The following is a 27,882-nucleotide window of genomic DNA, read 5'->3' as shown; positions in this document are numbered from 1 at the left end:
AGCAGTGAAGCCACTGCACTCCAGCCTGGGCAAGAGTGAGACCCTGCTTCAAAAAAAGGAAAAGGAAAAGAAAAAGTACACAGTTCTGCACTTGGCTTTTTTAGCCTAATAACCTACTTTCTGTAAAATCCAGTAAGACAGTAGTCTGAACTGTACTCCATCACACAGTTGTGCCATCATTTTCTGAATTGGACCCTCTGTTGGTGACTTAGGTGCAGCCTGAATGAATAGCTTTGAACACACTCTTTAGTATCTAGGGTATGTGCTACTGGATAACTTATAATTTTTAAGCTGGGGGTAGGGTGGTAAGTACTCCCTGAAATTATAACAAACTATACAGTTTTCCAGGTGGGGCCCCACAGCTTTCATCTCATTCTGAGTCAGAAAAGGATGAGAACCGACGTTCTTACAGGATCAAAACTGGTTTTTGGCCAGGTACAGTGGTTCAAGCCTGTAATCCCAGCACTTTGGGAGGCTGAGGTGGTGGATCACCTGAGGTCAGGAGTTCAAGACCAGCCTGGCCAACATGGTGAAACCCTGTCTCTCCTAAAAATACAAAAATTAGCCAGGCATGGTAGCGGGCACCTGTAATCACCGGTATTTGGGAGGCTGAGGCAGGAGATTCGCTTGAACCCGGGAGGTGGAGGTTGCAATGAGCCAAGATCGTGTCATTGCACTCCAGCCTGGAGGACAAGAGACTCTGGTTTTTGCAGCAAGTAACTAATTTATGGTGTCAAGGCTCCTTCTGTCCTTTTCGGGCTTCCATTTCTCCAGCAGCATTTCCACAGCACAGCAGCAAGAGGTAAGGTGAGGGTTCAAGTAGATGTTGGTTGAAAACCTGAATTCCCAGCTGTGCAACTCTGGAAAGTTAGTCTTTCCAAGCCTCTGTTTATTGGAAAATGAGGATATCACTGCCTGCCTCACAGGAGTGCAGTGAGTTGACTGGATTCTATTCAGCACACAGAATATCTGGTGCATGGTTGGCATTCATGCTAAAGTTCTCCCCTGTTGATGTTTTAGAACTAAGAGTTATCATTTAGCTATCTTCTTCAGCTATCATTTAGCTCTTAGTTCTAGAGTATCAACAGAAGAGAACTTTTCTGTTGTTGTTGTTTTTTTTTAAGAGACAGGGTCTTGTTATGTTCCCCAGGCTAGAAGAGAACTTCTACCAAGAATTTCCTCACTCCATACCCTGTTCCTCTACAAGCATAAAGATTATGCATACCAACTGTATGTGGTGATACCAAGCTAGTAGACTGTGGGCACATTTGCCATTGAGGAAGAGATAGTAATAAGATATACACTTGGATTGGTTTCTCTTTTCCCAAAAATACTTCCATTTAATATAGTCATATGAAAGCTAATCAGCAAGAAGGGAGATTGACAGACATGCTTAGGAAAATAGCTACGTACCATACCACCACACCAAAGTGTTGTTTTTTGTTTTTGTTTTTTTTTTAAACAAATGGAGAAAAGACAGACCAGCCAGGATGACTTCCCACAGGGAAGGGATTTAAGGGCTGCCCCCATGAATTTCTTCAGGCCACGACAGCTACTTCCTCCTCTTGTATCTGTAAGAAAATCAGAGTTAAGACCAGAATGAGGATGGAGAAGCTTCTTTTCCATGAAAGGTTTTTATCTCTAATCCCAAAACCTATGCCCCTCCAAAACAGCCAGTATCACCTGGATTTAGATTTAAAGTTTCCTCCTCGTCTCTGGTGGGGCAAGCCCAACTGTTTCCTTTCTTCAAAGGAAGGGCTGTGAGAGAAGATGACATGCTGAAATGAGCAAACTGTTGAACAAATGGGTGTTGTCTCACCCCCACCCTCCCCAGCTCCTACATGAAGCAGTAGCATCTCTGGGATGCATCATTTTCAGGCCCTAAGTTCTAAGCCTTTATGTGTTTCCACCTGATAACGTGTTTCTGGAAGTCAGGGCCCAATTTTAAAACAAGGTTGGAAGAGGCCCTTCTTAGGTATATACCACTACTTGGGAAGCTTAGTCTGCCCCTGCCCCAACCTTGGGCTGGGGAAAATGGTGTGGGACAACATATTCCTAAGAGCAAGCCAGGATTCTCTGGGGTTCTGCAGGATGGAACTTGAGATGAAAGAGTTATCACTCCCCTGAAGGAAAGCTCCATTTCTGAACCCAACAATGTACTATTTCACCTCCAAGGCAGGAACAGTGCTAACTGAACACCCCTCTCCTGTTCTCACCTTGGGATCCTCAGGTGGCTCTGAGAGGGGTGGGGGGTGGAGAACAGACAGGTACCCTTGAATTTACATAGTATAAAGCTATAGGTGTGCAAAAACTGGAAATGGGGAAGGAGGCAGAAGACTCATAGCTTCCATTAGAATACCAAGGGCTCGCCGGGCACGGTGGCTCAAGCCTGTAATCCCAGCACTTTGGGAGGCTGAGGCGGGTGGATCAGGAGGTCAAGAGATCGAGACCATCCTGGCAAACATGGTGAAACCCCATCTCTACTAAAAATACAAAAATTAGTTGGGCATGGTGGCGTGCGCCTATAGTCCCAGCTTCTTGGGAGACTGAGGCAGGAGAATTGCTTGAACCCAGGAGGTGGAGCTTGCAGTGAGCTAAGATGCACCACTGCACTCCACCCTGGGCGACAGAGCGAGACTCCGTCTCAAAAAAAAAAAAAAAAAAAAAAAGAATACCAAGGGCTCCATGATGACTTAAAATCCTACCCAGCTCGATACTGTTTCAGGGCCTTCTTGCTTGTGTTGGTGAGTTCTTCATCAAATACAGATTTCTTCCCCTGCTTTTGCTTCTTGGCTGTGCACAGAGAGAATGGGTTACATATGGTTGTCTTTGGCCCAAGCTCCTAAATCCCCTTAAGTTCAAGGTAATGATTCCAAGTTCAGTGGATACTCTGGCATCCAAAGACTATTTTCATTCTGTCCTCACCAGCTCCTCCAAGTAGCAGCTGGTGAGGCCTTAGGCTCCGGAGTCAGAAAAGCTGGCGTTCAAATCCTAGTTCTCAACAACCACAAGGTCACTGCGCCCCTTAGACCGTGGAGGGATAGCTGTACACATTGGTACATACTAATTACTCAAATAATGTGGGCTACTGTCATCATCCCTCAGATTTTCTCCCTGACCCAAAGCACAGGTTTCAGGGAAAACCTTGTACAAGCTCCTTTGGGCTCCCCATTCACCTACCAGGACCTCTCACTGGCTCCTCCTCGGGCATTGCTCGGGCCCGCTTGGCTCTGCGATTCCTCTTCGCTAGCCGTTCAGCAAACATCTGCGCCTTGAGGATTTCAAACTGAGACCTTTCCTCTGCCTAGGGGGAGTGGGGAGGTGTGAGTGTGGAACACACCAGGCCACTCTGACCCACCCCACCGAGTGGGCCCAAACTCCAAAAGGGAGGCCACTCACTGTCATCTCCCCCTTTTTTTTGGCATCCTTCATAAACTTCTTCCTTTTCTTCTTTCCTCTTAAGGCCAAGTCAAATTCCTGCAGAGCTTTGGCAACTGGGATGAGAAGAAAGCATAAGATTTCAGGGATGATTTTATCTTTTTTTAAGCTTACGATAAGAAGTGCACGTTTTCAATTGGTAAGTTAGCAGATTAAAATGAAAAGCGGCAAGCACTTCTTGGCCGAGTGCAGTAGCTCGTGCCTGTAGTCTCAGCACTTTGGGAGGCTGAGGTGGGTGGATCACCTGAGGTCAGGAGTTTGGGATCAGCATGGCCAACATGGTGAAACCCCGACTACTAAAAATACAAAAATTAGCTGGGCATGGTGGTGCACCTGTAATCCCAGCTACTTGGGAGGCTGAGGTGAGAGAATTGCTTGAACTTAGGAAGGGGAGGCTGCAGTGAGCTGAGATCGCGCCACTGCACTCCAGCCTGGGCGACAGAGCGAGACCCTGCCTCAAAAAAAAAAAAGAAAAGAAAAGCCGCAAGCACTTCTTCCACTGATTACCTCCATCTCACTAAATAACATGCTTTTTTGACTATTTCTCAATCCACTTAAGATACTCATTACAAACCTCCTGCTATGAAGGATGAAGATTTAGGTCACTTTACTACTTTACCCACCAATACAGTTATAACTCTATTTTTATCAGAAATTTAAGTTATATACACCCTTATTTTGTCCCATCAAATATAGACAGCATTTCTAAAACTGCTGGTATACCCTCTAGGAGGGAAATTTTGCAACCTCTAACAAAACTAGAAATACAAATATCCTCTGACCCACTATTCCACTTTTAGGAATTAATCCTGCAAGCCAAATATACACTTGCTTAATTGTAAAAGGGCATATGTGCAAGGTTATTCCCTACATCACTTGTTTGTAATGACAAATGATTATTTTTTGGGTTTTTTGTTGTTGGTGGTGGTGGTTTGAGTCGGGGTCTCATTCTGCCGCCCAGGCTGCAGTTCAGTGGCAGAATCTTAGCTCACTGCAACCTTGACCTCCCCAGGCTCAGGTGATCCTCCTACCTCAGCCTCTCAAGTAGTTGGACTATAGGCATGCACCACCATGTCTGGCTAATTTTTTGATTTTTAGTAGAGATGGGGTTTTGCCATGCTGCCCAGGCTGGATGACAAATGATTGTAAACAACCTCAATGTCCCTCAACAATCTACTCATATGATGGAAGAACATGAAGCCATTAAAAAAAACAAAAAGGGGGCCGAGTGCAGTGGCTCACACCTGTAATCCCAGCACTTTGGGAGGCCAAGGCAGGCGGATCACGAGGTCAGGAGATCGAGACCATCCTGGCTAACACGGTGAAATCCCATCTCTACTAAAAATACAAAAAATTACCCAGGTGCGGTGGCAGGCACCTGTAGTCCCAGCTACTCAGGAGGCTGAGGCAGGAGAATGGGGTGAACCCAGGAGGCAGAGCTTGCAGTGAGCCGAGATTGCGCCACTGCACTCCAGCCTCAGTGACAGAGCAAGACTCCGTCTGAAAACAAAAAACAAAAAGGGCAGCATATGTGGGCCTATATAAAACATATCTCTAAGCTTCAAAATTAAGTGAAAAGGCGAGGCATAGAACAATGTGAACTTATAAGTGTTTTGGGTCTTTTTTAAAGGGAGATGGAGAGGAAATCTGTATTAAATATCTCCTAACTTTTTTAAAATTATTTTTATTGTGGTTATATATACACATATAAAACAAAGGCTGCCATTTTACCCAATCTTAAGTATACAATTCAGTGGCATTACTTACATTCACAACATTGTACAACCATCACCACTATCTGTTTCCAAAACTCCTATCAGGAGGCTACTCACTGACATCATTGAAAACAGAAGCTCTGCAACCACTAATAATTTCCTATAACCCCCCTTCCCCTAGCCCTAAGTAATCTATAATCTATTTCTGTCTCTGTGAATTTGCCTAGCTAGATATCTCAGGTAAGTGAAATCAGACAGTATTTGTCCCTTTGTGTCTGGATTATTTCATTCAGCTTAAGATTTTCAAGGTTCATCCTTATGGCATGTATCAGAACTTCATGGCTGAATAATATTCCATTGTGTGTATATAAACACACACCCCAAATTTTGTTTATCCATTCACTTGTTGATGAACATAGTTTGTTTCCACCTTTTTGCTATTATGAACAGTAATTCAAAGAGCACTGGCATCTAAGTATCTGTTTGAGTCCCTGTTTACATCCTTTACAACAGTGGTCCCCAACCCCAGGCTGCATACCGGTTCCAGTCCATGGCGTATTAGGAACCAGGCTGCACAGCAGGACGTGAGCATTGGGCAACCAAGCATTGCCACCTGTGCTTGGCCTCCTGTCAGATCAGCAGCAGCATTAGATTCTCATAAGAGCACTAACCCTATTGTGAAGTGCGCATGCGAGGGATCTAGGGTGTGCACTCCTTATGAGAATCTAATGCAACCCCCACACCCCAAATGTGGAAACATTGTCTTCCACGATACTGGTCCTTGGTGCCGAAAGGTTGGGGACCGCTGCTTTACAGTATAGAACTAGGAAATGGAACTGCTGAGTCCTGTGGGGTAATTCTGTATTTAGATTTCTGCGGAACCTCCCTGACTTACTTTTCTCCTTCTTCCTCTCTTCTTTGGTCTGGAACCAGCTCCTCTCGGGCTCTTGGACCACTGCCTCCTTCCCCTTCTCCAGGAGCCGCTTTGCTGTATTGATCTGTAGAGATAACAAAAGGATGCCTGCCGTGAAACCCGTATCTACTAACACAGGAAGCCACGGGCTGCAAATGCCTGGGGCTCTGATGGGAGAAACATTTCAGAAGGGCAGCACCAGCAGGGATGCAGCAGCTTGCTTACTGAGCAGCCTTGTGAACAAGATCCCGCCTCGCAGCCTCACCTGGGCTTCTGACTGCTGCATCTCTTTTTCCTCCGCCTCTAGCTGCAGAACTGCATACACATCTTTCTCCATTTTCTCAATCTTGTCCCGGAATTTGAGGATGACATCTCAATGGGAGAAAATAAAAAGGATTTACAAATAAGGGTAGGCCAGGCATGGTGGCTCACACCTGTAACCCGGCACTCTGGGAGATTGAGGTGGGAGGATTGCTTGAGCCCAGGAATTTGAGGCCAGCCTGGGCAACGTGGCCAGACTCTGTCTCTACAAAAAAAAAAAAAAAAAAAAAAAAAGCCAGGCACAGTGGCTCATGCCTGTAATCCCACGCTTTGGGAGGCCAAGGCAGGTGGATCACCTGAGGTCAGGAGTTTGAGACCAGCTTGGCCAATGCTGTGAAACCCCGTCTCTATTAAAAATACAAAAATCAGCTGGGTGTGGGGGCACACGCCTGTAATCCCAGCTACTACTCAGAAGGCTGAGGCAGGAGAACTGCTTGAACCCACGAGGCGGAGGCTGCAGTAAGCCAAGATGACACCACTACACTCCAGCCTGGGCAAAAGAGCGAGACTCCATCTAAAAAAAAAAAAAAAATTAGCCATCATGGTGGCACACACCTGTAGTCCCACCTACTCAGGAGGCTGAGGAGAAGAACTGCTTGAACCCAGGAGTTCGAGGCAACAGTAAGCTATGATCGCACCCCTGTACCCCAGCCTGGGCAACAAAGCAAGACCTTATCTTAAACAAAATAAGGCAGTGGCTCAAGCCTGTAATCCCAGCACTTTGGGAGGCCAAGGCGGGTGGATCACGAGGTCAAGAGATCGAGACCATCCTGGACAACATGGTGAAACCCCACCTGTACTAAAAATATAAAAATTAGCTGGGCGTGGTGGCATGCACCTGTAGTCCCAGCTACTTGGGAGGCTGAGGCAGGAGGATCACTTGAACCCGGGACGCAGAGGTTGCAATGGGCCGAGATCGCACCACTGCACTCCAGCCTGGCAACAGAGCAAGACTCCATCTCAAAAATAAATTAAATAAAATAAAATAAGGGTGACTACTAATACTGTGTAACTGATGAAAATAATTTAGCTGTGCATTTACTGACATAGGAAATGGTGTCTGTAATGTGTGCCTTCTCTGCTTCATATCCCCCAGACTCAGAGTGGCCCCTGCCTACCGCTCTGATCTTCTGTGTGTCCCTGCTCACCACGCCTGAGCCTCCTGACCTTTCTCTTGTTCTCACACACTAAGCTCGTTCCTACCTCACAGCCTCCACCCTTGTTCTCTCAGCTCAGCACTTTGCCCTCAGACCTCTCATGGCTGCCTCATTCCGATCACCCAGGACTCAGCTCCAATGCCAGCTGTGCAGAGGCCTTTCCTTAACAGCTTAATGAGGCAGTCTCCTCCTGCTGTTCTCAATCACATCTACTGTTAGCTTATTTATTGTCTCTTTCTCCCAGAACCACAGCTCTGCTTTGTTCCCTGCTGTATCCCCAGCACCTAGAACAGAATCAATAGCACTAGGCCCACAGCAGGACTCAATAACTAGTCGCTGATTAAATGAAGACAATGAAAATGAAAAAAATAAAAGGGACATTTAAGAAAGGAAAAATGGTTTGAAAAGACATACACCTAAATGCTACCAGTGGTGAGCTCTTTGACACAGAATTACATTTTTTTTTATTTACTAATTTCCAACAATAAATACGTACTTTTCATTTCATTTTTTAGAGACAGGGTCTTGCACTTTTGCCCAGGCTGCAGTGCAGTGGCACAATCATAGCTCACTGCAGCCTCAACCTCCTGGATTTAAGAGATCTCCTGCCTCAGCCTTCTGAATAGCTGGGACTACAGGCACACACCACCATGCCCAGCTAATTTTTTTTTTTTAGAGACAGGCAGCTCACTATATTGCTCAGGTTGGTCTTGAACTCCTGGCCTCTAGCAATCCTCCTGCCTTGGCCTCCCAAAGTGCTGGGTTATAGGCAAGAGCTACCATGCTCAGGCTAAATATGTATTATTTTTATAACTTTAAAAATTTTTAAGGCTGGGCATGGTGGCTCATTACTGTTAATCCCGGCACTTTGGGAGGCAGAAGGTGGGTGGATTGCTTGAGCCTAGGAATTCAAGAACAAAACAAAACAAAAAAAGACTTTAAAGAGGATGTGCTTTATAAGACCCCCACAGATCAGAGGAACAAAATCAATGAAAGGACCCAAAAAGAATGAGTACTGATCTCTCTCTTCCCCACCACCAACAGTAAGGGAAAGAGGAGTTTAGTGAGAATTTTGCCCCAAGCAACCTTCTCTTCTCAATTTCCACCTAAATGGGGCACTGTGTTTACAATTCTGTCATAATTCCCTTCTACACACAGGAGGCAAGCTCAGAGAGGTGAGGTGAAACCTGCACATGGTCACTCGGCAAGGAAGCAGCAGGGCTGGAATTCAAATCTGGCTCTGAACTGCAAAGTACCTGCTCTCAGCCATTACACTCTGTCCTTGCCCCGCCCACCGAGCCATTCTGCACTGCCACAGGGGTGCCTGCTCACCTTGGGGAAGTATCCTGGCCTTCACAGGGGCCTTGGCAGCTTTTACAATCTCCTTCAGCATCTTCCGCTCATCTTCTCCCACCAGAGAGACTGAGCGCCCAGCCCTGCCAGCACGTGCTGTTCGCCCCACCCGGTGGACATAATGTTTGATGGTATTAGGCATTGTGAAGTTGATTACCTAGAAGGTCAAAAATGAACGTCAGGCCTGGCAAGGGAAGGGGGGTGCGAAGAGGCAAAAAGACTTCCACCAAAAGTCCAAGGAAGATAGTGTCTGCTCACCGTTTTGACCCCCTCAATGTCAAGTCCACGGGCTGCCACATCAGTGGCCACGAGGATGTCAATCTGTTCATCCTTAAAACGCCTAGAAACAGTCACAAACAGCTGTTCATCCAGACACCCTCCCCTAATAATGCTCCACAAGAGCCTGAGCCAGCAGAGGACAGAACAGGGCATTAAAATGGGGATAGAGGCTGGGCACGGTGGCTCACGCCTGTAATCCCAGCACTTTGGGAGGCCGAGGTGGGCAGATCACGAGGTCAGGAGATCGAGACCATCCTCGCTAACACGGTGAAACCCCGTCTCTACTAAAAATACAAAAAATTAGCCAGGCATGGTGGCGGGCGCCTGTAGTCCCAGCTACTTGGGAGGCTGAGGCAGGAGAATGGCGTGAACCTGGGAGGCGGAGCTTGCAGTAAGCCAAGATTGCGCCACTGCACTCCAGCCTGGGCGACAGAGCGAGACTCCGTCTCAAAAAAAAAAAAAAATAGGGATAGATTCTAAATGTGAGCACATGGGATATTTACACCCACCCTTCAACAACCCATCATACAGAGCAAACGTAGTTCTGTATCTGCTAACAGCATAGGCAATTGTCTCAGTTTAAATCAGCCTATCTTTAACAAACACCTTTCAGCACCCACTGATGAACAGGGTTAGGTGGAGAGTTCTAAAGGGTTCCTCCTTGCCAACCACCTTGATGCCATTCTCTGAGGACTAAACAAGAAATCACATGGAAAGCACGCAGCACAGTGCCTGGCAAAGTAGATGCTCAAGTAATGGCTGCTAACTTTGACTCTAAATCTTGTTCAATCAGACCCAGGAATGTTCACCACTCTCAGAAAGCTTCCAAGAAGAGACCATGTGTTGCCTTTCCAAGCCAGCTTCCTCTGTCACGCCACACAACAGCTCCCATGCTAGGGACAAGCATCCAAGGACATGAGGGTCATCTCTGACTATGAAGTTAGAGTTCTAAACACATCTAAGACATGACCTCACAGTGGTTAGGTTAAAATGTTCAAGGCCAAGATCATGCTATGTGTCCCCTGCTAATGTTCTAATAGAATGCTCAGGGTCCTCTTCTTCCTTCTATCCTCTCTGCCCCAGAAGGATGGTGGGAGCCTCAGTCCCCACCCCAAATGTTACCGGAGGGCCTCCAGCCGCTGCGTCTGTGACAAGTTGCCATGGAGCTCACCCACCTGCAGCCCCATGAGCCCCAGGAGGATGTGCATGCGGTGGGCCTGCTTCTTGGTTTGCGTGAACAGCATCACATGGTCAGTGAAGGTCCTCGTCAACAAAGCTGGCAGGAAGAGAGGACTGAGCTGGCAGCTGTTTCTAGGCTCTTATTCAACATGTACCCCCTCCTCATCCACAAAGTATGGTCACTGTGCCTGGCACTGGATAGACAGGCACTGTCCCTGTCCTGTGGAACTCAAATTCCAGGGTGGATACAGAGAAGCCAATTCCTGGGGGGTGAAAAATGCTGTGAGAGAGAGTGCAGGGACGAGGGGGAAGCAGCTAAGGGCTGGCCTCTCTGAAGAGGTGACATTAGGTTGAATGACAAGGCAGATGATCCATGGGAAGATCCAGGGGAAGATTCTAGACAGAGGAAATGGCAAACATGAAGGCCCGGAGGCAGGAACCAGCTTATAGTGAGAAGTGCAAGCAGGCGGCTGGATGTAGTGGCTCATGCCCGTAATCCCAGCACTTTGGGAGACCAAGGAGGACAGATCACTTGAAGCCAGGAGTTCAAGACCAGCCTGGCAAACACGGTGAAACCCCATCTCTACTAAAAATACAAAAATTAGCCAGAAGTGGTGGCAAGTGCCTGTAATCCCAGCTACTCGGGAGGCTGAGGCAGGAGAATCGTTTGAACCCAGGAGGCAAAGGCTGCATTGAGCCAAGATCGTGCCAGTGTACTCCAGCCTGGGCGACAGAGCAAGACTCTGCCTCAAAGAAAAAAAAAAAAAAGTGCAAGCAGGCGAATGTGGCTGGAGCCATGAGCAAGCCTCCAAGGCTGGGATCCCGGGCAGGCAAGGGCCAGGCCCGAAGAGTCCTAAAAAACTAAGATGTTTGGATTTTAGTCTAAGACCAATGGAAGCCACCGCAGGGTGTTCAAATAAGGACATAATAAGTACGAATGTCTTCTGCAAGCAATCATTGTAAATGCTCTGCAATGCAGAGAGTCACAAAAGGCCGAGTGGAAGCAGGGAGCTCGAGCAAGAGGCTGCGCAACGATCCAGGCGACAGAGAACAGTGGTCTGGACTGACGGGTACAACAGCAGCTGATGCCAAGTGGTTGGGAGTTGAACAGGACACAAAGAGGATTGGTGAGGCGATAAAGCAAAGGGAGGAAGGACCCGTGGAGAAGAGAGGCAGCGGATCATCATTAGTGCAGTGCAGCCTCTGCGCTGGGGAAGACTGGACGGCAGAGGCGCAGGGGAAACCAAGCACTTCAGCATGGATACTACGAGCTCAAGGAAGCTGACCAGCCCACCCTGCCCAGGCTTGCCCTGTGCTGCCACCTGCCACGATGGCTTCCCGGTCTCCTTCACGATTAGGCCGGATCCGGATGAACTCCTGCCGCAGGAAGGGAGCCACATCTGTGTTGCTGTTCACAAATATCCGGACAGGATTCTTCAAGGAGACAGAAGCCAGATCTTTCACCTGCCAAGCACAAAGCCAGGTTTCCTCAGCTCTCTGCAAGGTGGTAGGGAAGGAGGAAGCAGTGCTCACCCCAGGCAAACCCCCTCAAGCCCAGCCAGGGTCCTCTGCATGGCCCCCTCTGGGCACACCTGCCACCCGCCACAGAGAAGTCCCTCGGCCCACCTCGTCTGTCATGGTGGCCGAGAAGAGCATGGTCTGGCGGTGGTGGGAACACATTCGGATGATCTCCTTCATCTGCTCCTCAAAGTACTCATCCAGCATCCTGGGAGCAGAGAAAGACATGGCAGAAATGGAGAGAGTGCTCTTCGGTCACAGTGAGGGACACGGGATTGCATACCGGCTGCTGTTTGTTGTCATTGGTTACATTTAGGACTCATCTATTTTATTATTTTATCTTTTCACCAAGAATTATCATTTTGCCACATTTGCTTTGTCTTTTTGTGGCAAGTCAGTCACAGATGTTATAACACCTTACCCCAAATATTTCAGCACACAACTCCTAAGCACTAGGACCTTCTCTTACAGAAACACAACTTCATCAACACACCCAAGACTTTCAAGTGCGTGAATATCTAAAGCACAGGCCACGTTCAAATTCCTTCAGCTGCCTCCAGGTTCCAAGTGTCTTTTTTTTTTTTTTTTTGAGATGGAGTTTCACTCTTGTTGCCCAGGCTGGAGTGCAATGGCACAATCTCGGCCTCCCGGGTTCAAGCGATTCTCCCGCCTCAGCCTCCTGAATAGCTGGGATTACAGGCATGCACCACCACACCCACTTAATTTTTTTTTTTTTTTTTTTTTTTTTTTGAGACGGAGTCTCGCTCTGTCGCCCAGGATGGAGTGCAGTGGCGCGATCTCCGCTCACTGCAAGCTCCGCCTCCCAGGTTCACGCCATTCTCCTGCCTCAGCCTCCGGAGTAGCTGGGACCACAGGCGCCCGCCACCACACCCGGCTAATATTTTTGTATTTTTAGTAGAGACAGGGTTTCACTGTGTTAGCCAGGATGGTCTCAATCTCCTGACCTCATGATCCGCCTGCCTTGGCCTCCCAAAGTGCTGGGATTACAGGCGTGAGCCACCGCACCCGGCTAATTTTGTATTTTTAGTAGAGATGGGGTTTCTCCATGTTGGTCAGGCTGGTCTTGAACTCCCTACCTCAGGTGATCCGCCTGCCTCGGCCTCCCAAAGTGCTGGGGTTATAGGCATGAGCCACTACGCCAGGCCAAGTTTTATTTTATAGTTACCTTTTGTTTTAGTGCAAGAACCAAAGTTCCTGCCTTGCAACTGGCTGCCACGTCTCTAGTCTTCCTGCATCTAGAAAAGCCCCCTCAGCCTGGGCAGCATAGCAAAACCTCATCTCCACAAAAAATACAAAAATGAGCTGGGGCCGGGCAAGGTGGCTCATGCCTATAATCCCAAAACTTTGGGAAGCCGAGGCAGAAGGGTGTCTTAAGCCCAGGAGTTCAAGACCAGCCTTGACAACATAGCGAGACCCCGTCTCTATTTATTTAATATAAAATAAGCCAGGCATGGTAGCATGTGCCTGTAGTAGTAGCTACGTCGGGGGACTGAGATGGGAGGATCACCTGAGTCTAGGAAGTAGAGGCTGCAATGAGCTGGTGTTCACACCATGGCACTCCAGCCTGGGTGACAAAGCAAGACCCTGACTCAAAAAAAAAAAAAAAAGGAACGAAAAGGCCCCTCATCCTTCTCACAGTCTGGATTCGTATAATTATTTCTCAGTAACTGGATTCAGAGAAATCCTCATGGGGACAGCGCTGCTGGGCACAGCTGTGCCCTGCATTCACGCTCCATCATGAGATACTGACGGCCGGTTTGTTCCAGAACTGTGGATGTGAGGTTGGTCACTTGGCTATAGTGTCTGCCAGATCACGCCACTGTAAAGGATCCTCTTTCTCTTTATACATAATAGTAATCTGTGAGATTCCTTGGATTCCATGTTTTCAGCAAGCCCAACCCCTTACAGCATTTCTCTCCCCAGTGCAGGCTACAGTCTAGGTCCAGGTATCACACAGAGCTGTCTCCTGATCTAAATCTCAAATACTTCCTCCGCCTTTTTTGGTCTTTTGAGGTACATACTTGAATAGTTTCCCTCCCCCTTTAAAACCTAAACCAGATCACATCCCCTTGGCTTAAAATGATCTCTTTTTCATCCTTTAGGCCTCAGGAATGGGTCTTCTGTTCTGGGGGAGTCAGCCAATTGGTTATTCAACAAGTATTTACTGAGCGCCTGCTATATACTAGACATGCCCTTGTTCATGGGAGTATAGCAGTAGCCCCTTCATGAATACTGTATCCTAGGGAGAGAGGGGGACTTGGCACTCCATGAACCCTCAGTGACAATGCAGGCAGGACGGGAGGAGCAAGTCAGGGCAGGACCGTCACAGGGCAGCCAGCAAAGGCCCCACTAACAAGATAACAACTGGAACAGAAACCTGAAGGGGCAGGAGATGGCTCCAGGCTGAGGAAATGGCAAATGCAGAAGCCACAAAGTGGGGGCGTGTGGCCAGGCTGTGTCGACAGGCGGGCTGTGGAATGTGAAAACAGGAGGACACGCTAAGAATTCAGAACAGCTGGAAGGATGGAGCTGCCATTCCCCAAGCTGGTGAAGAGTCAGGGATTAAGGGCCTGCAACCTTAGCATGCCCTGGGGCTGTCTGCGAGCTCCTTCCCCTGCCCCACCTCCAGCCTCAGTCCAGAGTTCAGGAAGAGTTCCTTCTGTTCAGTCCCAGAGCAAAGAGGTGAGCAGATGGCACAGAGAGGAACAGAGAGCTGGGGGGCGGGGTGGGGGGAGAGGGAGTCCCCACTGCAGTCACAGAGGCCCTGTGGGAGCCACGCTGGCACTTCCTCTTCCTCCCTCCTCAGCTCCTCAACACTATGGTGTGCGTATGTCCTTATCTCCCATTTACAAATGAGAAAAGATTTGTTTTGAGAATCTAAATATTTCCAAATCTCCCTTAGGAAGTGGCAGGACCAACATTTGACCAGCCTTATCACTTAACCACCATAATAGAGAAAGAGAAAAAAGAGGAAAACATGGGCTAAGGCTGGGCAGAGGCCCCAGCACAAGTGGCTGATCTGGTATCGCACACCAACAGCCATGGCCCAGAGCCACAAAGAATAACGCAGTGTGGCAGGTCCACATCCAGGTTCTGGGCCTTGGAACCCCACAGTGCCCTGGGCCCCAGGCTGTGAGGAGCACCTGTCAGCCTCGTCCAGGATGAGCACCTCGATGCTGCTCAGGTGGAAGGAAGGGCAGTTGTGGAGGTGATCGATGAGCCGGCCTGGGGTGGCGATGAGGATGTCAGGCGCTGCCCGAAGAGCTGCTTCCTGAGACTTCACATCCAAGCCGCCTGCAAAGAGAAGAGAGCCCCACCAGGCGGCCAGGTCAGCTGCTCATGGGTGTTGACTGAGCACCAGCCACTCACCAGGCCTCAGGCCAGATGCAGAGAAAACCACTGAGAGAGTAAGACTGACAAAGGCCCAAGCACATGGGTTTCCCAGAAACGCACTGGGAAAGACAGATCATGTCATTAAAATTGTGCTAAGTGCAAAAATCAACAATGATGATGACACAAAAGCACTTCAGAAGAGAATGCATGGGCTGGGCGAGGTGGCTCATGCCTGTAATCAATCCCAGCACTTTGGGAGGCCAAGGCAGGTGGATCACCTCAGGTCAGGAATTCGAGACCAGCCTACCCAACATGGCGAAACCCCATCTCTATTAAAAATACATAAATTAGCTGTGCATGGTGGTGCACACCTATAATTCCAGCTACTTGGAAAGCAGTGGGAGAATCACTTGAACCCAGGAGGTGGAGGTTGCAGTGAGCCAAGATCATGCCATTGCATTCCCACCTGGGCAACAGAGTGAGACTTCCTCTCAAAAAAAAAAAAAAAAGAGAATGCCTGAAACATTCAAGGACTAAGAGAAGCAGCTGAGGAAAGTGATGAGGTGTCTGTTACAGGGAGACAAAGATCACTTCTGACTTCCAATAGCACAAGGAGGGCAAAATGCAGGCTAGATAACACTATCATATAACTTCATTGGAAAAACGCTGCCCAAAGTAATATTTGATTCATTATTCTCACAGAGCAGAAATTATACCCCAAATTTGTTCAGTACCACGAAAAAAATGTTCATAGTTTTCAGGTTTCATTTGTGAAGGTTGGTTAAGTCTCAATCAAATCCCACCCACCTAAAGCACTATGAAAACATGTCGGCTGGGTGCGGTGGCTCATGCCTGTAATTCCAGCACTTTGGGAGGCCAAGGCAGGCGGATCACGAGGTCAGGAGATCGAGACTATCCTGGCTAACACGGTGAAAACCTGTCTCTACTAAAAATACAAAAAATTAGCCAGGCGTGGTGGCGGTAGTCCCAGCTACTGGGGAGGCTGAGGCAGGAGAATGGCGTGAACCCGGGAGGCGGAGCTTGCAGTGAGCCAAGATTGCGCCACTGCACTCCAGCCTGGGCGACAGAGCGAGACTCCTCCGTCTCAAAAAAAAAAAAAAAAAAAAAAGTCTTCCAGTTTTTAAGTGGATTCAATCAACACAAAGGCCTCTCCTGGCACCTGTCACCAACACCAACAGATGGCGGGGCACATCCATCCTCCACCCCACCACAGTCTCTCAGGGGCTGGCAGCCCTTGGCCAGAAACTCACCCACAGCCAGGCAGGTGGTGATGTTGCAGAACTGGGCCAGCTGTCTGGTGACAGAGTGCACCTGGATGCCCAGCTCTCGGGTGGGCACTAGCACCAGCACGCGGGTGACTGGAGCCTGGCGGGGTTTATAAATCAGACGCTCCAAAACAGGCAGGGCAAAGGCGGCAGTTTTACCTGGAGGGAGGGACAGCAAGGAAGCAATGAGAAGAAGTTTAGCTCCCTCCAGGGTTAGGTTTTCACCAGAGCACAGAAAAACTACGTCTGGTTGGGGAAAATAAAGGAACTTATTTTTCATAGAATATTTTTTCTGCTTTCAAATCACATGGTCAGGCTCACATATGTAATCCCAGCACTTTGGGACGCCGAGGCAGGCGGATCACCTGAGGTCAGGAGTTCAAGACCAGCCTGGCCAACATAGTGAAGCCCCAATTCTACTAAAAATACAAAAAACTTAGCTGGGCATGGTGGCGGGAGCCTGTAATCCCAGCACTTTGTGAGGCCAAGGCAGGCGAATCACCTGAGGTCAGGAGTTCGAGACCAGCCTGGCCAATATGGTGAAATCCTGTCTCTACTAAATATATAAAAATTAGCCAGGCTTGGTGGTGGGCACCTGTAATCCCAGCTACTCAGGAGGCTGAGGAAGGAGATTCACTTGAAGGCAGAGGTTGCAGTGAGCTGAGAACGCACCACTGCACTCTAGCCTGGGTGACAACAGCAAAACTCTGTCTCAAAAAAAAAAAGAAAAAATACAGCCAGGCACAGTGGCTCATGCCTGTAATCCCAGCACTTTGGGAGGCTGAGGCAGGTGGATCATGAGGTCAGGGGTTCAAGACCAGCCTGGCCAAGATAGTAAAACCCTGTCTCTACTAAAAATACAAAAATTAGCCGGGCATGGTGGCGTGTATCTGTAATCCCAGCTACTCAGGAGGCTGAGGCAGGAGAATCGCTTGAACCCGGGAGGCGGAGGTTGCAGTGAGCCAAGATTGCGCCACTGCACTCCAGCCTGGGCAACAGAGCGAGACTCTGTCTCAAAAAAAAAAAAAAAAAAAATTTCCTCCTCTGATATGGCAGGGCCAGGAGGCCATGGTCACAGAGATCAGGGATACCCCAAGAGGATTAAATGAAAATGACCTTCATCAGACCCTTTGAAACTTGTGGCCCACTACTAGACCGGACATCCTCTCATGCACTGTTTATCTTACAAAATTAATCCTTCAGTATGCCAGGCACGGTGGCTCACACCTGTAAATCCCAGCACTCTTGAGAGGCTGAGGCAGGTGTATCACTTGAGGTCAGGAATTCGAGACCAGCCTGGCCAACATGGTGAAACCCTCTCTCTACTAAAAATACAAAAATCAGCCGGGTGTGGTGGCGGGCACCTGTAAACCCAGCTACTGGGGAGGCTGAGGCAGGAGAATCACCTGAACACAGGAGGCAGAGGTTGCAGTGAGCCGAGATTGCGCCACCGCACTCCAGCCTGGGTGACAGAGTGAGACTCCATCTCAAAACAAAAAATTAATCCTTCAGTAAACTGAGTAAGCTCTGCAGTCTAGGAAACACTGTTGTATCAGTGCCAATTTCCTGGTTTTGATTTTGTCCTACAGTTATGTGGGATGTCACCATTGATGAAGGATTCGAGAGACCCTATGCACTATTTTTGCAACTTGCCACTGATCTACAAATACTTCAAAATAAAGTGGTTAAAAATTTAAAAGTCCTTTACTCTCGGCCGGGCGCGGTGGCTCACGCCTGTAATCCCAGCACTTTGGGAGGCCAAGGCGGGCGGATCACGAGGTCAGGAGATCAAGACCATCCCGGCTAAAACGGTGAAACCCCGTCTCTACTAAAAATACAAAAAATTAGCCGGGCGTAGTGGCGGGCGCCTGTAGTCCCAGCTACTTGGGAGGCTGAGGCAGGAGAATGGCGTGAACCCGGGAGGCGGAGCTTGCAGTGAGCCGAGATCCCGCCACTGCACTCCAGCCTGGGCGACAGAGCGAGACTCCGTCTCAAAAAAAAAAAAAAAAAAAAAAAGTCCTTTACTCTCTCAATTGCACCAGTATATCTTTTTTGTGTTACAAAAATTTTATGGCCAGGCACAGTGGCTCATGCCTGTAATCCCAGAACTTTGGGAGGCCAAGATGGGAAAATCGATCGCTTGAACCTGAACCTAGGAATTCAAGACCAGCCTGGACAACAAAGTGAGACCCCTATCTCTACAAAATAAAAAATAAAAATGAAATAGTTCAAAAAACCAAGAATATTTATTTAGCAAACCAGCCTTTGGTAAGTCAACCTAGAGCCCAGCCCTGGCCGTAACACCCTTCTGCCCACCCTGGGTCCCTATCCTTTTCACCTGTCCCAGTGGCTGCACAGGCACAGATGTCCTTCCCCAATAGACCCACAGGTATGCACGCCTTCTGGATCGGGGTGGGCTGCTTGAAGCCCATGGCTGTAATGGCCTGAGGAAAAAAGAACTGGGTCAGACAGGGTTGAGCGGGGGAAGTCTCAGCACAACACAAACAGGGCAGGTTTCCAGACAAGTGGGGACCACACCAATCCCCACCAATCATTCGTTCCACAAACATTCACTGAACGCCTACTATGTGTGAGGTGGTGCTCTAGACACTGAGGACACAGCAGTAAATAAAAGAAATAAAAACCCTGCCCTCAGGAATCTTACAGTCTGGTAGAAACAGACCAAAAAACAAACACATGTCATATGGAGAGATGCTGCGGAAAACAATGCAGCGGCCAGACGGGCAGCAGGGGGAGTGCTATTCACGGTAGGGCTGCCAGGGAAGGTCTCACTGAGCAAGGGATACTGAGTTGAACCCTGAAGGAAGCTAGAGAGCACCCCAAAAGATTTCTGGAAGAGTTTTCCAGGCAGAGGGAACAGAAAGTGCAAGGGCCCTGAGGAAGAGGAGGCCTAACCTATTTGAGGGCCAGCAAGGAGGCCAGTGTGGCCAGAGCAGAACGAGTGCCAGGAGGTGTCGTCAGAGAGGGCCAGAAGGGGCAGAGCCTTGTAGGTCAATATAAGGACTCAGGCTTCTAAGAAGAGTGAGACTGGGAAGTACTGAAGGACTCAGAGAAGAAGAGGAGGGACACGATGGAACTCATTGCTTAAGAGAGTTCTCGGCCGGGCGCGGTGGCTCACGCCTGTAGTCCCAGCACTTTGGGAGGCTGAGGCGGGCGGATCACGAGGTCAGGAGATCGAGACCATCCTGGCTAACACGGTGAAACCCCATCTCTACTAAAAATACAAAAAATTAGCAGGGCGTGGCAGCGTGTGCCTGTAGTCCCAGCTGCTGGGGAGGCTGAGGCAGGAGAATGGCGTGAACCCGGGAGGTGGAGGTTGCAGTGAGCCGAGATTGTGCCACTGCACTCCAGCCTGGGCGACAGAGTGAGACTCCGTCTCAAAAAAAAAAAAAAAAAAAAGGGAGTTCTCTGGCAACTGTATGGACAAGAGTTGAGGGAGGCAAAGAGAGAAGCAGAAAGTCCAGTTAGGGGTGGCTGCAATAATCCCATGGTTGCCAAAATAAGCCACTACTGGCCAGGCACAGTGGCTCAAATCCCAGCACTCTGGGAGGTTGAGGCAAGAGGATTGCTTGATGCCAGGAATTTGAGACCATCTTGGACAACATAGCAAGACCATGCTTCTACAAAGAAAATTTTTGACAAGAAGCTGCTACCTTCAGAAGAGGGCGGGAAAGGTTCATGTCCTGGAACGAGAGGTTTTCATCGTACTGAGATGCATCTTCAAAAAATCCTCCTGCTTCCTACACCAGAAAACCAAAAGAGAGAAGAGAATTCAACAAAAAGAGCCAAGAAACCCAAACGACCTTAAACTCCTTTCGGTTTGCCAACAAGCTGCATACTGTCTTGCAGCCCCAAGCTCACCTGTCCTTTCTTCTTCTTCTTCTTCCGATCCTTTACTTTGAGTGTATCTATGGAGAAAAACTTAGCTGATGACCACGGCTCAGACTTACAAAGCACTTGCATCCTGCTGGACACTGTCCTAAGTGCCAATGCCACACTTCAGCCTCTGAGGGGTGACCATCGTCAACCTTGTTTCACAGATGAGGACACTTTGTGGCAGCATGGTGAAGTAACTTGCCTAAGGTCAGAGAGAAAGCTAACCCAGTGACTCTGGTCCAGAGACCAGGCTCTCGACCACTACACTGTATTATGATGCTTTAGCACACATTTCTGCAAGAAATACTTATTGAGGGCGGAAGCAGTGGCTCCCGCCTAAAATCCCAGCACTTTAGGAGGCCGAGGCAGGTGGATCACCTGAGGTCAGGAGTTCGGGACCAGCCTGTCCAACATGGTGAAACCCCATCTCTACTAAAAATACAAAAATTAGCCAGGTGTGTTGGCGTGTGCCTGTAGTCCCAGCTACTTGGGAGGCTGAGACAGGAGAGTTGCTTGCACCCGGGAGGCAGAGGTTGCAGTGAGCTGAAATTGTACCACTTGCACTCCAGCCTGAGTGACAGAGTAAGACTCCATCTCAAAAAAAAAAAAAGAAAGAAAGAAATACTTATTGAGCACCCACTATGTGGCTGGACCCATCTGAGTATGTCACCCCAAATGAGTTTGTATCACAGTGGCATCTGGCAGCCGCATGGGGCTAGATGGGAAAAGAGTAAACTACCTATGAAGTACAACAACCCAAACAAAATCCCAAGAGAAAAGAAAACCTAAAAGAAAGGATTCAGCGGGCACAGTGGCTCACGCCTGTAATGCCAGCACTTTTAGAGGTCAAGGCGGGAGGACTGCTCGAGCCTAGAAATTTGAGACTAGCCTGAGCAACAAAGCAAGACCCCGTCCCTACAAAAAAAAAAAATTAGCCAGGCGCAGGGGCATGCACCTGTAGGCCCAGCTACTTAGGAAGCTAAAGCAGGAGGATCACTTAAGCCAGTGAGTTCAAGCCTTCCAGTGAGGTATGATTGCACTACTGCACTCCAGCCTGTGGATGGAGTGAGACCACATCTCTTTTGTTTTGTTTTTTGAGACAGGGTCTCATTCTGTGGCCCAGGGTTAAGTTCAGTGGGACAATCTCAGCTCACTGCAACCTCTGCCTCCCAGTTTCAAGTGATTCTCGTACCTCAGCCACCTGAGTGGCTGGGATTACAGGTGCATGCCACTACACCAAGCTTATTTTTGTATTTTCAGTAGAGATGGGGTTTTACCATGTTGCCCAGGCTGGTCTCAAACTCCTGGCTTCAAGCGATACACCCACCTCAGCCTCCCAAAGTACTGGGATTACAGGCATGAGCCACTGCACCCAGCCAACATCTCTTAAAAAAAAAAAAAAAAGAAAGAAAGGAGTTCAATGTAGTAGGCAGAACAGCTTAAAGATAAACTGTGCAGAAGAGTGGAGGAAACCCTACAAAGTAAAGGAGGATGCCTTCTGATCTCCTGTCCCCATTACTGACACCTCCGCCGTAACGTCTACCTGCTTTGGTGAGGATGTTCTCATCAGCTGATGAGTAGTCAGTCTCCGAGGCTTCATCTTCTGAGCCTTCCTCATCATTCTCTTGAAGGTCTTCCTGCTCCTTTGGTTCAGAGCCTTCCTTTGCTTCTTTCTCCTTTTCCAACTTCCCAGACTTGGCTTCTTTATCCTGGGAAAAAAATTAAAGTGAGGGTGATGAGAAACTTCTAGAAATCCAGAACCTAAGTAGAGCGATAGGAAGCTCTCCGGCCTGAATGAACGGCTGTGGGGATTCTCAGTACAGATTCACAGCAAACACACAGAAGAGTGCGCCTGCCCCAGCCATGCCCCGCTCTATAAGGGCTTCCAGAGAGATGCTGGGGTCGTGGTGAGAGTAAAGAGTGGGCCCTAACAACGAAAAATAGCCACTTTTCTTCTCACCTCTGTTTTCCTTTTCTTTCGAACTTTCTCAATCTTCTCATCTAATGTAGTGGCTGCCCTCTGCAGATAAAAATAAAGAGGTGAAAAAGAAATTTTCATTGAAACATCGAATAAGAGAACAAACTCTTCATAATTAACTTGAAAAAGAAAAAATTTTGGCCTTCTCTGAAAATACATATACATATTATATATATAAAAATTTTAGGCCGGGCGCGGTGGCTCACGCCTGTAATCCCAGCACTTTGGGAGGCCGAGGTGGGTAGATCACCTGAGGTCAGGAGTTCGAGACCAGCCTCAACATGGAGAAACCCTGTCTCTACTAAAAAAATACAAAATTAGCCGGGTGTGGTGGTGCATGCCTGTAATCCCAGCTACTCGGGAGGCTGAGGCAAGAGAATTGCTTGAACCTGGGAGGCGGAGGTGGCAGTGAGCCGAGATCACGCCATTGCACTCCAGCCTGGGCAACAAGAGCAAAACTCCGTCTCAAAAAAAAAAATTTTTTTAATCCTCTCCAGACGATCTTGAAAATGCAGTGCTGGTAAGGCTGAGCACAGTGGCTCATGCCTGTAATCCCAGCTACTCAAGAGGCTGAGGCAGGAGAATCGCTTGAACCCAGGAGGCAGAGGTTGCAGTGAGTCAAGATGGTACCATTGCACTCCGGCCTGGGTGATAGAGTGAGACTCCATCTCAAAAACAACAAAAAAAAACTACAAAAAATTAGCTGGGCGTGGTGGTGGGCACCTGTAATCCCAGCAACTCGGGAGGCTAAAGCACAAGAATCGCTTAAACCCAGGAGGCAGAGGTTGCAGTGAGCTGAGATGGCGCCATTACACTCCAGCCTAAGCAATGGAGAGAGACTCTGTCTCAAAAAAAAAAAGAAAAGGCAATGCTGGTTTACTTCAATCAGAGTAAGGACCAGCAAAGCCTGGATTAAACTGTTCTGGACAGGCAATATTTCTCTTTGAAGACATGAAATGGAAAATAACTTAGATGCATCTTCTAGTTTAACCAGATTCACAGAAAGGCATGGGATCTTGGCAAACAAACAGATGACAATGACATCTGTGGTAGCTTTGGCTGTGCTGTGTGGGAACCAGGGACACTGCACAGTGACACCACCGGAGACCACCTGGCAAGTGCTCATACTTTGTTTGGTATTAAAGAGGAGTCTCCCCAGCAAGCAGACTCAGAAAAAAAAAAAAAAAAAAGACAGTGAGTCATTTGTGATCCCTGTGCCCATCTCATCAAAAGTATACCAGATATTTTCTTTTGTTTTTTTTTAACCAGTTATTTTCAAAGGAGTTGTAGTATCTGCTGAATGTAAACAGATGGTCAGTCAGGTCAGGGCTAGGCCCTGAAACTCACAGTCCAATCTTAATAGCCCAAAGTCTGGAGCTGTCCATCACTGTCAGTCTCACCTTCTTCTTGAGTTGGCTCATGACATCAGCCAGGGCCCAGCTGCCATCGTACGTCCCCTCCTTCTCAGTGAAAACGAAATCAGGGTTGAAATCAGCACTGCGGTTCTTCCCCAAAGCTTTTTGTCGTCTGCCCAGCACAATGGGCCCCTGGGAAGAGTAAGAGACAGAGTGACTTTGGGGCTGAGATAAAGAATGATAGAAAGCAAGAAGGGGCCAGGCACAGTGGCTCACACCTGTAATCCCAGCACTTTAGGAGGCGAAGGCACGCAGACAAGGTCAGGAGTTCAAGACCAGCCTGACCAACATGATGAAACGCAGTCTCTACTAAAAATACAAAAAAGACGGGTGTGGTGGCTCACGCCTGTAATCCCAGCACTTTGGGAGGCCGAGGTGGGTGGATCACAAGGTCAGGAGTTCAAGACCAGCCTGGCCAATATGGTGAAACCCTGTCTCTACTAAAAATACAAAAATTAGCCGGGCGTGGTGGCGCATGCCTGTAGTCCCAGCTACTAGGGAGGCTGAGGCAGGAGGATTGCCTGAACCCGGGAGGGGGAGGCTGCGGTGAGCCGAGATCGCGCCACTGCACTCCACCCTGGGCGACCGAGCAAGACTCTGTCTTAAAAAAAAATGAAGTGAATGAGACTGGAGTGTTGGTCATGAAGAGGAGAGCTGTGAGAGATGAAAGTCAAGGTGGAAAGGACAAGATCGTGAGGACCTTGAAAGCCACGTGAAAGCAGGCTGGAGAGTTTTTTTTGTTTTGTTTTGTTTTGTTTTTAGCAATTTGAATCATTTCTTGAAAAACAAACACAAACAATTCCCCCCGCATCATGGGTGTGACAAACACACCCCGCATCATGGGTGTGACCGGGCACTGTACAGGGGCCTGGCTCCTCGGGGACTGGCCCATGACCTCCCACGCAGCGGGCTGAGCCAAGGCCTGTCCGAGAGGGGGCCGCAGCCAGCAGGCCTGGGTGGCCGCCCGCGCCCACAGGGGACATCGGGGAAATGGCGACAGTGTACGGGACCCAGACGCTGCCTGAGGAGTCTTTGCAAGGTGGACAGGCCCGGGGGTCTCTACCAGCAGGCTGGAGAGTTTTAAGCAAGGGAGGTCTCTAACGTGACTGTATCGCAGAGATCCCTCTGCTGCTAAGCGAAGAATACACTGGAAGTGCTCAAGATAAAGAGATGAAGATGAAGTATGTTTGGACTGCAGGTGTGCTGGTGTGCAAGCATGAGACAGCAGTAGCCGGAGCTAGGGTGGGTACAGTGTGAATGGAGAGAGGCGGGAGAAGCTTAAGAGAGATTCATGAGCTAGCTTGCAGAGCACTGGCGGCGGTGAGGAAGAAAAAACTGTCAAGAATAACTCTAAGGTTTCTGGCTTGAGAAGGGAACAGGATGAGAGTGAACACAAGTTCATCTTTGGAGGAGTTGAATTTGTAGAGGCCATGGGACATCTGGATAAACCTATCAGGCGGACAGATGAGAGTGCAGAGGGGACAACATCTGGGCTGAATGTTTGAAGGGCAAGCATCCTTTTCAGAACACCAATACCTCTTTAATTGCCATACTGCTTAATGTCTGCAAGCCCCCACACCACCATACGCTTCAGGAGAGTGGCACTCACCTTGTTCATTGCTACGCCCCCAACGCTTAACACTAAGTCTAGCAGGCGTTAAGTATTCAATAAACACTGGCTCGATGAACATACGAAAGGACAGCTAACCATGGCTCCTTGAGCAGGAACCATGGCTGACTTCACCTCTTACAAGGTGTAAGAAACCTGCCGTCTCTTACACAGGGCGTGGTTAAATATCAGTTCAGTGAATAGATACTGAGTTCAGCAAGGAGACAGGGAACGACATGGCCAAAGAAGCAGGCGGACGTAGAGATAACCTAGTGGCGGGGAAACTGAGGAAGATCTTGGGGTCCCGGTGAGATCCTTTTCGGGAAACTTCCGGGGCTGGCAGGGGATGATGAGGATTCGGGGACAGGGACCTGAGGAATCGCGAGGAAGGGAAGCAGTCAAGGAAACCCAAAGACCAGAACCGTGCTCATACCTCCTCTTCCTCGTCCCCGGAGTCAGACTCGGGCTCCACCGGCACCTCGTCATCCTCGCCTATGGTTCCGATTAAGCCGAGGTCCGCAAGCATGTTGTCGCAGAAGCCACTTCCGGAAGCGAGCACAGCCTGCGGTCCGGCCCTTAACTTTTCGCAGCCTCCTCGTCGTCTTTGCGCAAGTACCATGCGTCACTTCCGTTCCAGAGCCCCTGCCGCCCTCCCCGTTCGACCTCTTAAGAGTGCGCATGCGGCAATATGGGGCGTGGTTGGTTTCGTGTGACGCCATCAAGGGGCGGAGCTTTTTAGGTAAGCAAATTCCATTGTCTCCGGCCTCAAAACGGTGGCAGTATTTGAGGAGGGTGGAAGGGTGAGAGAGTCTAAAGAGTTGCATTTATAAACTCTAGATGTGTATATTTAGATACAAAAAAAAGCTGTGGAAGAAAATACAATAAGCAGTTAGCTGTGATTGCTTCTGGGTGGTAAAATTCTAAGTAATTTTTTGTCTTTTTTTTTTTTTTTTTTTTTTTTGAGGCAGGGTTTGGCTCTGTCGCCCAGGCTGGGGTGCAGTGGAGATCATGGATCACTGCAACCCCGACTTCCCGGGCTCAAGCGATCCTCCCGCCTCAGCCTTCTGAGTAACTGGAGGTACAGGCGCCACCACCACGCCCGGCGGAGTTTCACCATGTTGCCCAGGCTGGTGTCGAACTCCTGGGCTCAAGCAATCCTCCTGCCTCGGCCTCCCAAACTGCTGGGATTACAGGTGTGAGCCACTGCGCACAGCCCCGAAACTTTTTAATTAAAATTAATGTTTATTGTAGGGGAAAAAAAATCTCAGAAGAAAATAAAAATCAAGACCAGGCAAGGTGGTTCACACCTTTAGTCACGGCACTTTGGGAAGCCAGGTGGGTGCATCGCTTGTGCTCAGGAGTTCCAGACAACCCTGGGCAACATGACAAGACCCCATCATGTTTTTTTTGTTTGTTTGTTTGTTTGTTTGTTTTTAATTAAAAACGTGTTGGCTGGGCGTGGTGGCTCACGCCTGTAATCCCAACACTTCGGGAGGCCGAGGCGGGCGGATCACGAGGTCAGGAGATCGAGACCATCCTGGCTAACACGGTGAAACCCCGTCTCTACTAAAAATACAAAAAAATTAGCCGGGCGTGGTGGCGGGCGCCTGTAGTCCCAGCTACTCGGGAGGCTGAGGCAGGAGAATGGTGTGAACCCAGGAGGCAGAGCTTGCAGTGAGCCGAGATCGTGCCACTGCACTCCAGCCTGGGCGACAGAGCAAGACTCCATCTCAAAAAAAAAAAAAGATTGGGCTTTGTAGGGAGTGATGGAAAATGTGAATTAAAAAAATATATATTGCTAGCTGGGCGCGGTGACTCGCGCCTGTAATCCCAGCACTTTGGGAGGCCGAGGCAGGTGGATCACCTGAGGTCAGGAGTTTAAAACCAGCCTGACCAACATGGTGAAACTCCGTCTGCACTAAAAATACAAAAAATTAGCCGGGCATGGTGGTGTGTGCCTGTAATCCCAGCTACTCGGGAGGCTGAAGCAGGAGAATCGCTTGAACCCAGGAGGCGGAAGTTGCGGTGAGCTGAGATCACACCATTGCACTCCAGCCTGGGCAACAAGAGGGAAACTCCGTCTCAAAAAAAAATTATTTTATTTTATTTTATTTTTATTTTTATTTTTGAGACAGGGTCTCACTCTGTCGCCCAGGTGAGAGTGTAGTGGCGCGATCTCGGCTTACTGCAGCCTCCACCTCCTGGGTTCAAGCGACTCTCCTGCCTCAGCCTCCCGAGTAGCTGGGATTACAGGCATGAGCCACTGCGCCTGGCCTAAAAATATATATATATATATATTTTAAAAGGAAAAAAAAAACAGGATGGGCTTTGGAGCCACACAGCCTTGATTCAAATCCTGCTTCTGCTCCTTACTGTGTGGTCTTGGGTAACTTCCTAGTTATTTATAAAATAAAGACACTGTTAGGAAGGATATACAACAGCTAAAGAAAAACTCCGGATACAAAGGATG

General features: G+C 48.7%; 2 protein-coding genes across 3 annotated transcripts in view, besides 1 other annotated feature; one reads left to right on the top strand and one right to left on the bottom strand.

The window, feature by feature from the left end:
• Nucleotides 1-1,313: 1,313 nt before the first annotated feature.
• On the bottom strand, nucleotides 1,314-25,971 carry DDX27 (DEAD-box helicase 27). 2 transcript variants are annotated; one of them, NM_001348187.2, is made up of 22 exons: nucleotides 25,846-25,971; nucleotides 23,789-23,935; nucleotides 22,371-22,430; nucleotides 21,954-22,119; nucleotides 20,396-20,442; nucleotides 20,188-20,274; nucleotides 18,852-18,957; nucleotides 16,499-16,672; nucleotides 15,038-15,188; nucleotides 14,272-14,364; nucleotides 11,982-12,081; nucleotides 11,678-11,819; nucleotides 10,299-10,452; nucleotides 9,156-9,237; nucleotides 8,877-9,054; nucleotides 6,332-6,438; nucleotides 6,049-6,151; nucleotides 3,400-3,494; nucleotides 3,181-3,304; nucleotides 2,706-2,793; nucleotides 1,684-1,758; nucleotides 1,314-1,571 (listed from the first exon to the last, which is right to left on the bottom strand). In NM_001348187.2, exons 1-22 carry the CDS (start codon nucleotides 25,936-25,938, stop codon nucleotides 1,553-1,555), a joined length of 2,391 nt encoding a protein of 796 aa, NP_001335116.2. In that variant the 5' UTR covers nucleotides 25,939-25,971; the 3' UTR covers nucleotides 1,314-1,552. The 2 variants fall into 2 exon arrangements, with proteins under 2 accessions (NP_001335116.2, NP_060365.8); NM_017895.8 differs by lacking the exon at nucleotides 14,272-14,364.
• Nucleotides 25,658-26,383: an enhancer, noted in NCBI's record as "H3K27ac-H3K4me1 hESC enhancer chr20:47835541-47836266 (GRCh37/hg19 assembly coordinates)". NCBI's record gives its function as "activates a minimal SCP1, AML or CMV promoter by ChIP-STARR-seq in naive H9 embryonic stem cells {active_cell/tissue: H9 hESC(naive)}" and the evidence as "EXISTENCE:reporter gene assay evidence [ECO:0000049][PMID:30033119]".
• Nucleotides 26,092-27,882, top strand: part of STAU1 (staufen double-stranded RNA binding protein 1) — a 105,957-nt gene continuing 104,166 nt past the window's right edge. Inside the window, exon 1 of the mRNA NM_001319135.2 lies at nucleotides 26,092-26,151. The gene's annotated coding sequence lies outside the window, so the exon portion shown is untranslated. The remainder of the gene's footprint in view (nucleotides 26,152-27,882) is intronic.

This window comes from Homo sapiens, chromosome 20, assembly GCF_000001405.40.
Source record: "Homo sapiens chromosome 20, GRCh38.p14 Primary Assembly".
NCBI classification, from domain to species: Eukaryota; Metazoa; Chordata; class Mammalia; order Primates; family Hominidae; genus Homo; species Homo sapiens.
This window is presented reverse-complemented; position numbering and strand designations above follow the sequence as displayed.

Excerpts from the sequence above, each read along its gene's own strand:
- DDX27 (NM_001348187.2), bottom strand. The coding sequence starts at position 25,938 with ATGCTTGCGGACCTCGGCTTAATCGGAACCATAGGCGAGGATGACGAG. Across the intron at positions 20,275-20,395 it reads AGAAGAAGAAGAAAGGACAG|GAAGCAGGAGGATTTTTTGA; the intron begins GTGAGCTTGGGG and ends TTTCTGGTGTAG. Across the intron at positions 10,453-11,677 it reads CCGGGAAGCCATCGTGGCAG|CTTTGTTGACGAGGACCTTC; the intron begins GTGGCAGCACAG and ends TCTTCCTGCCAG.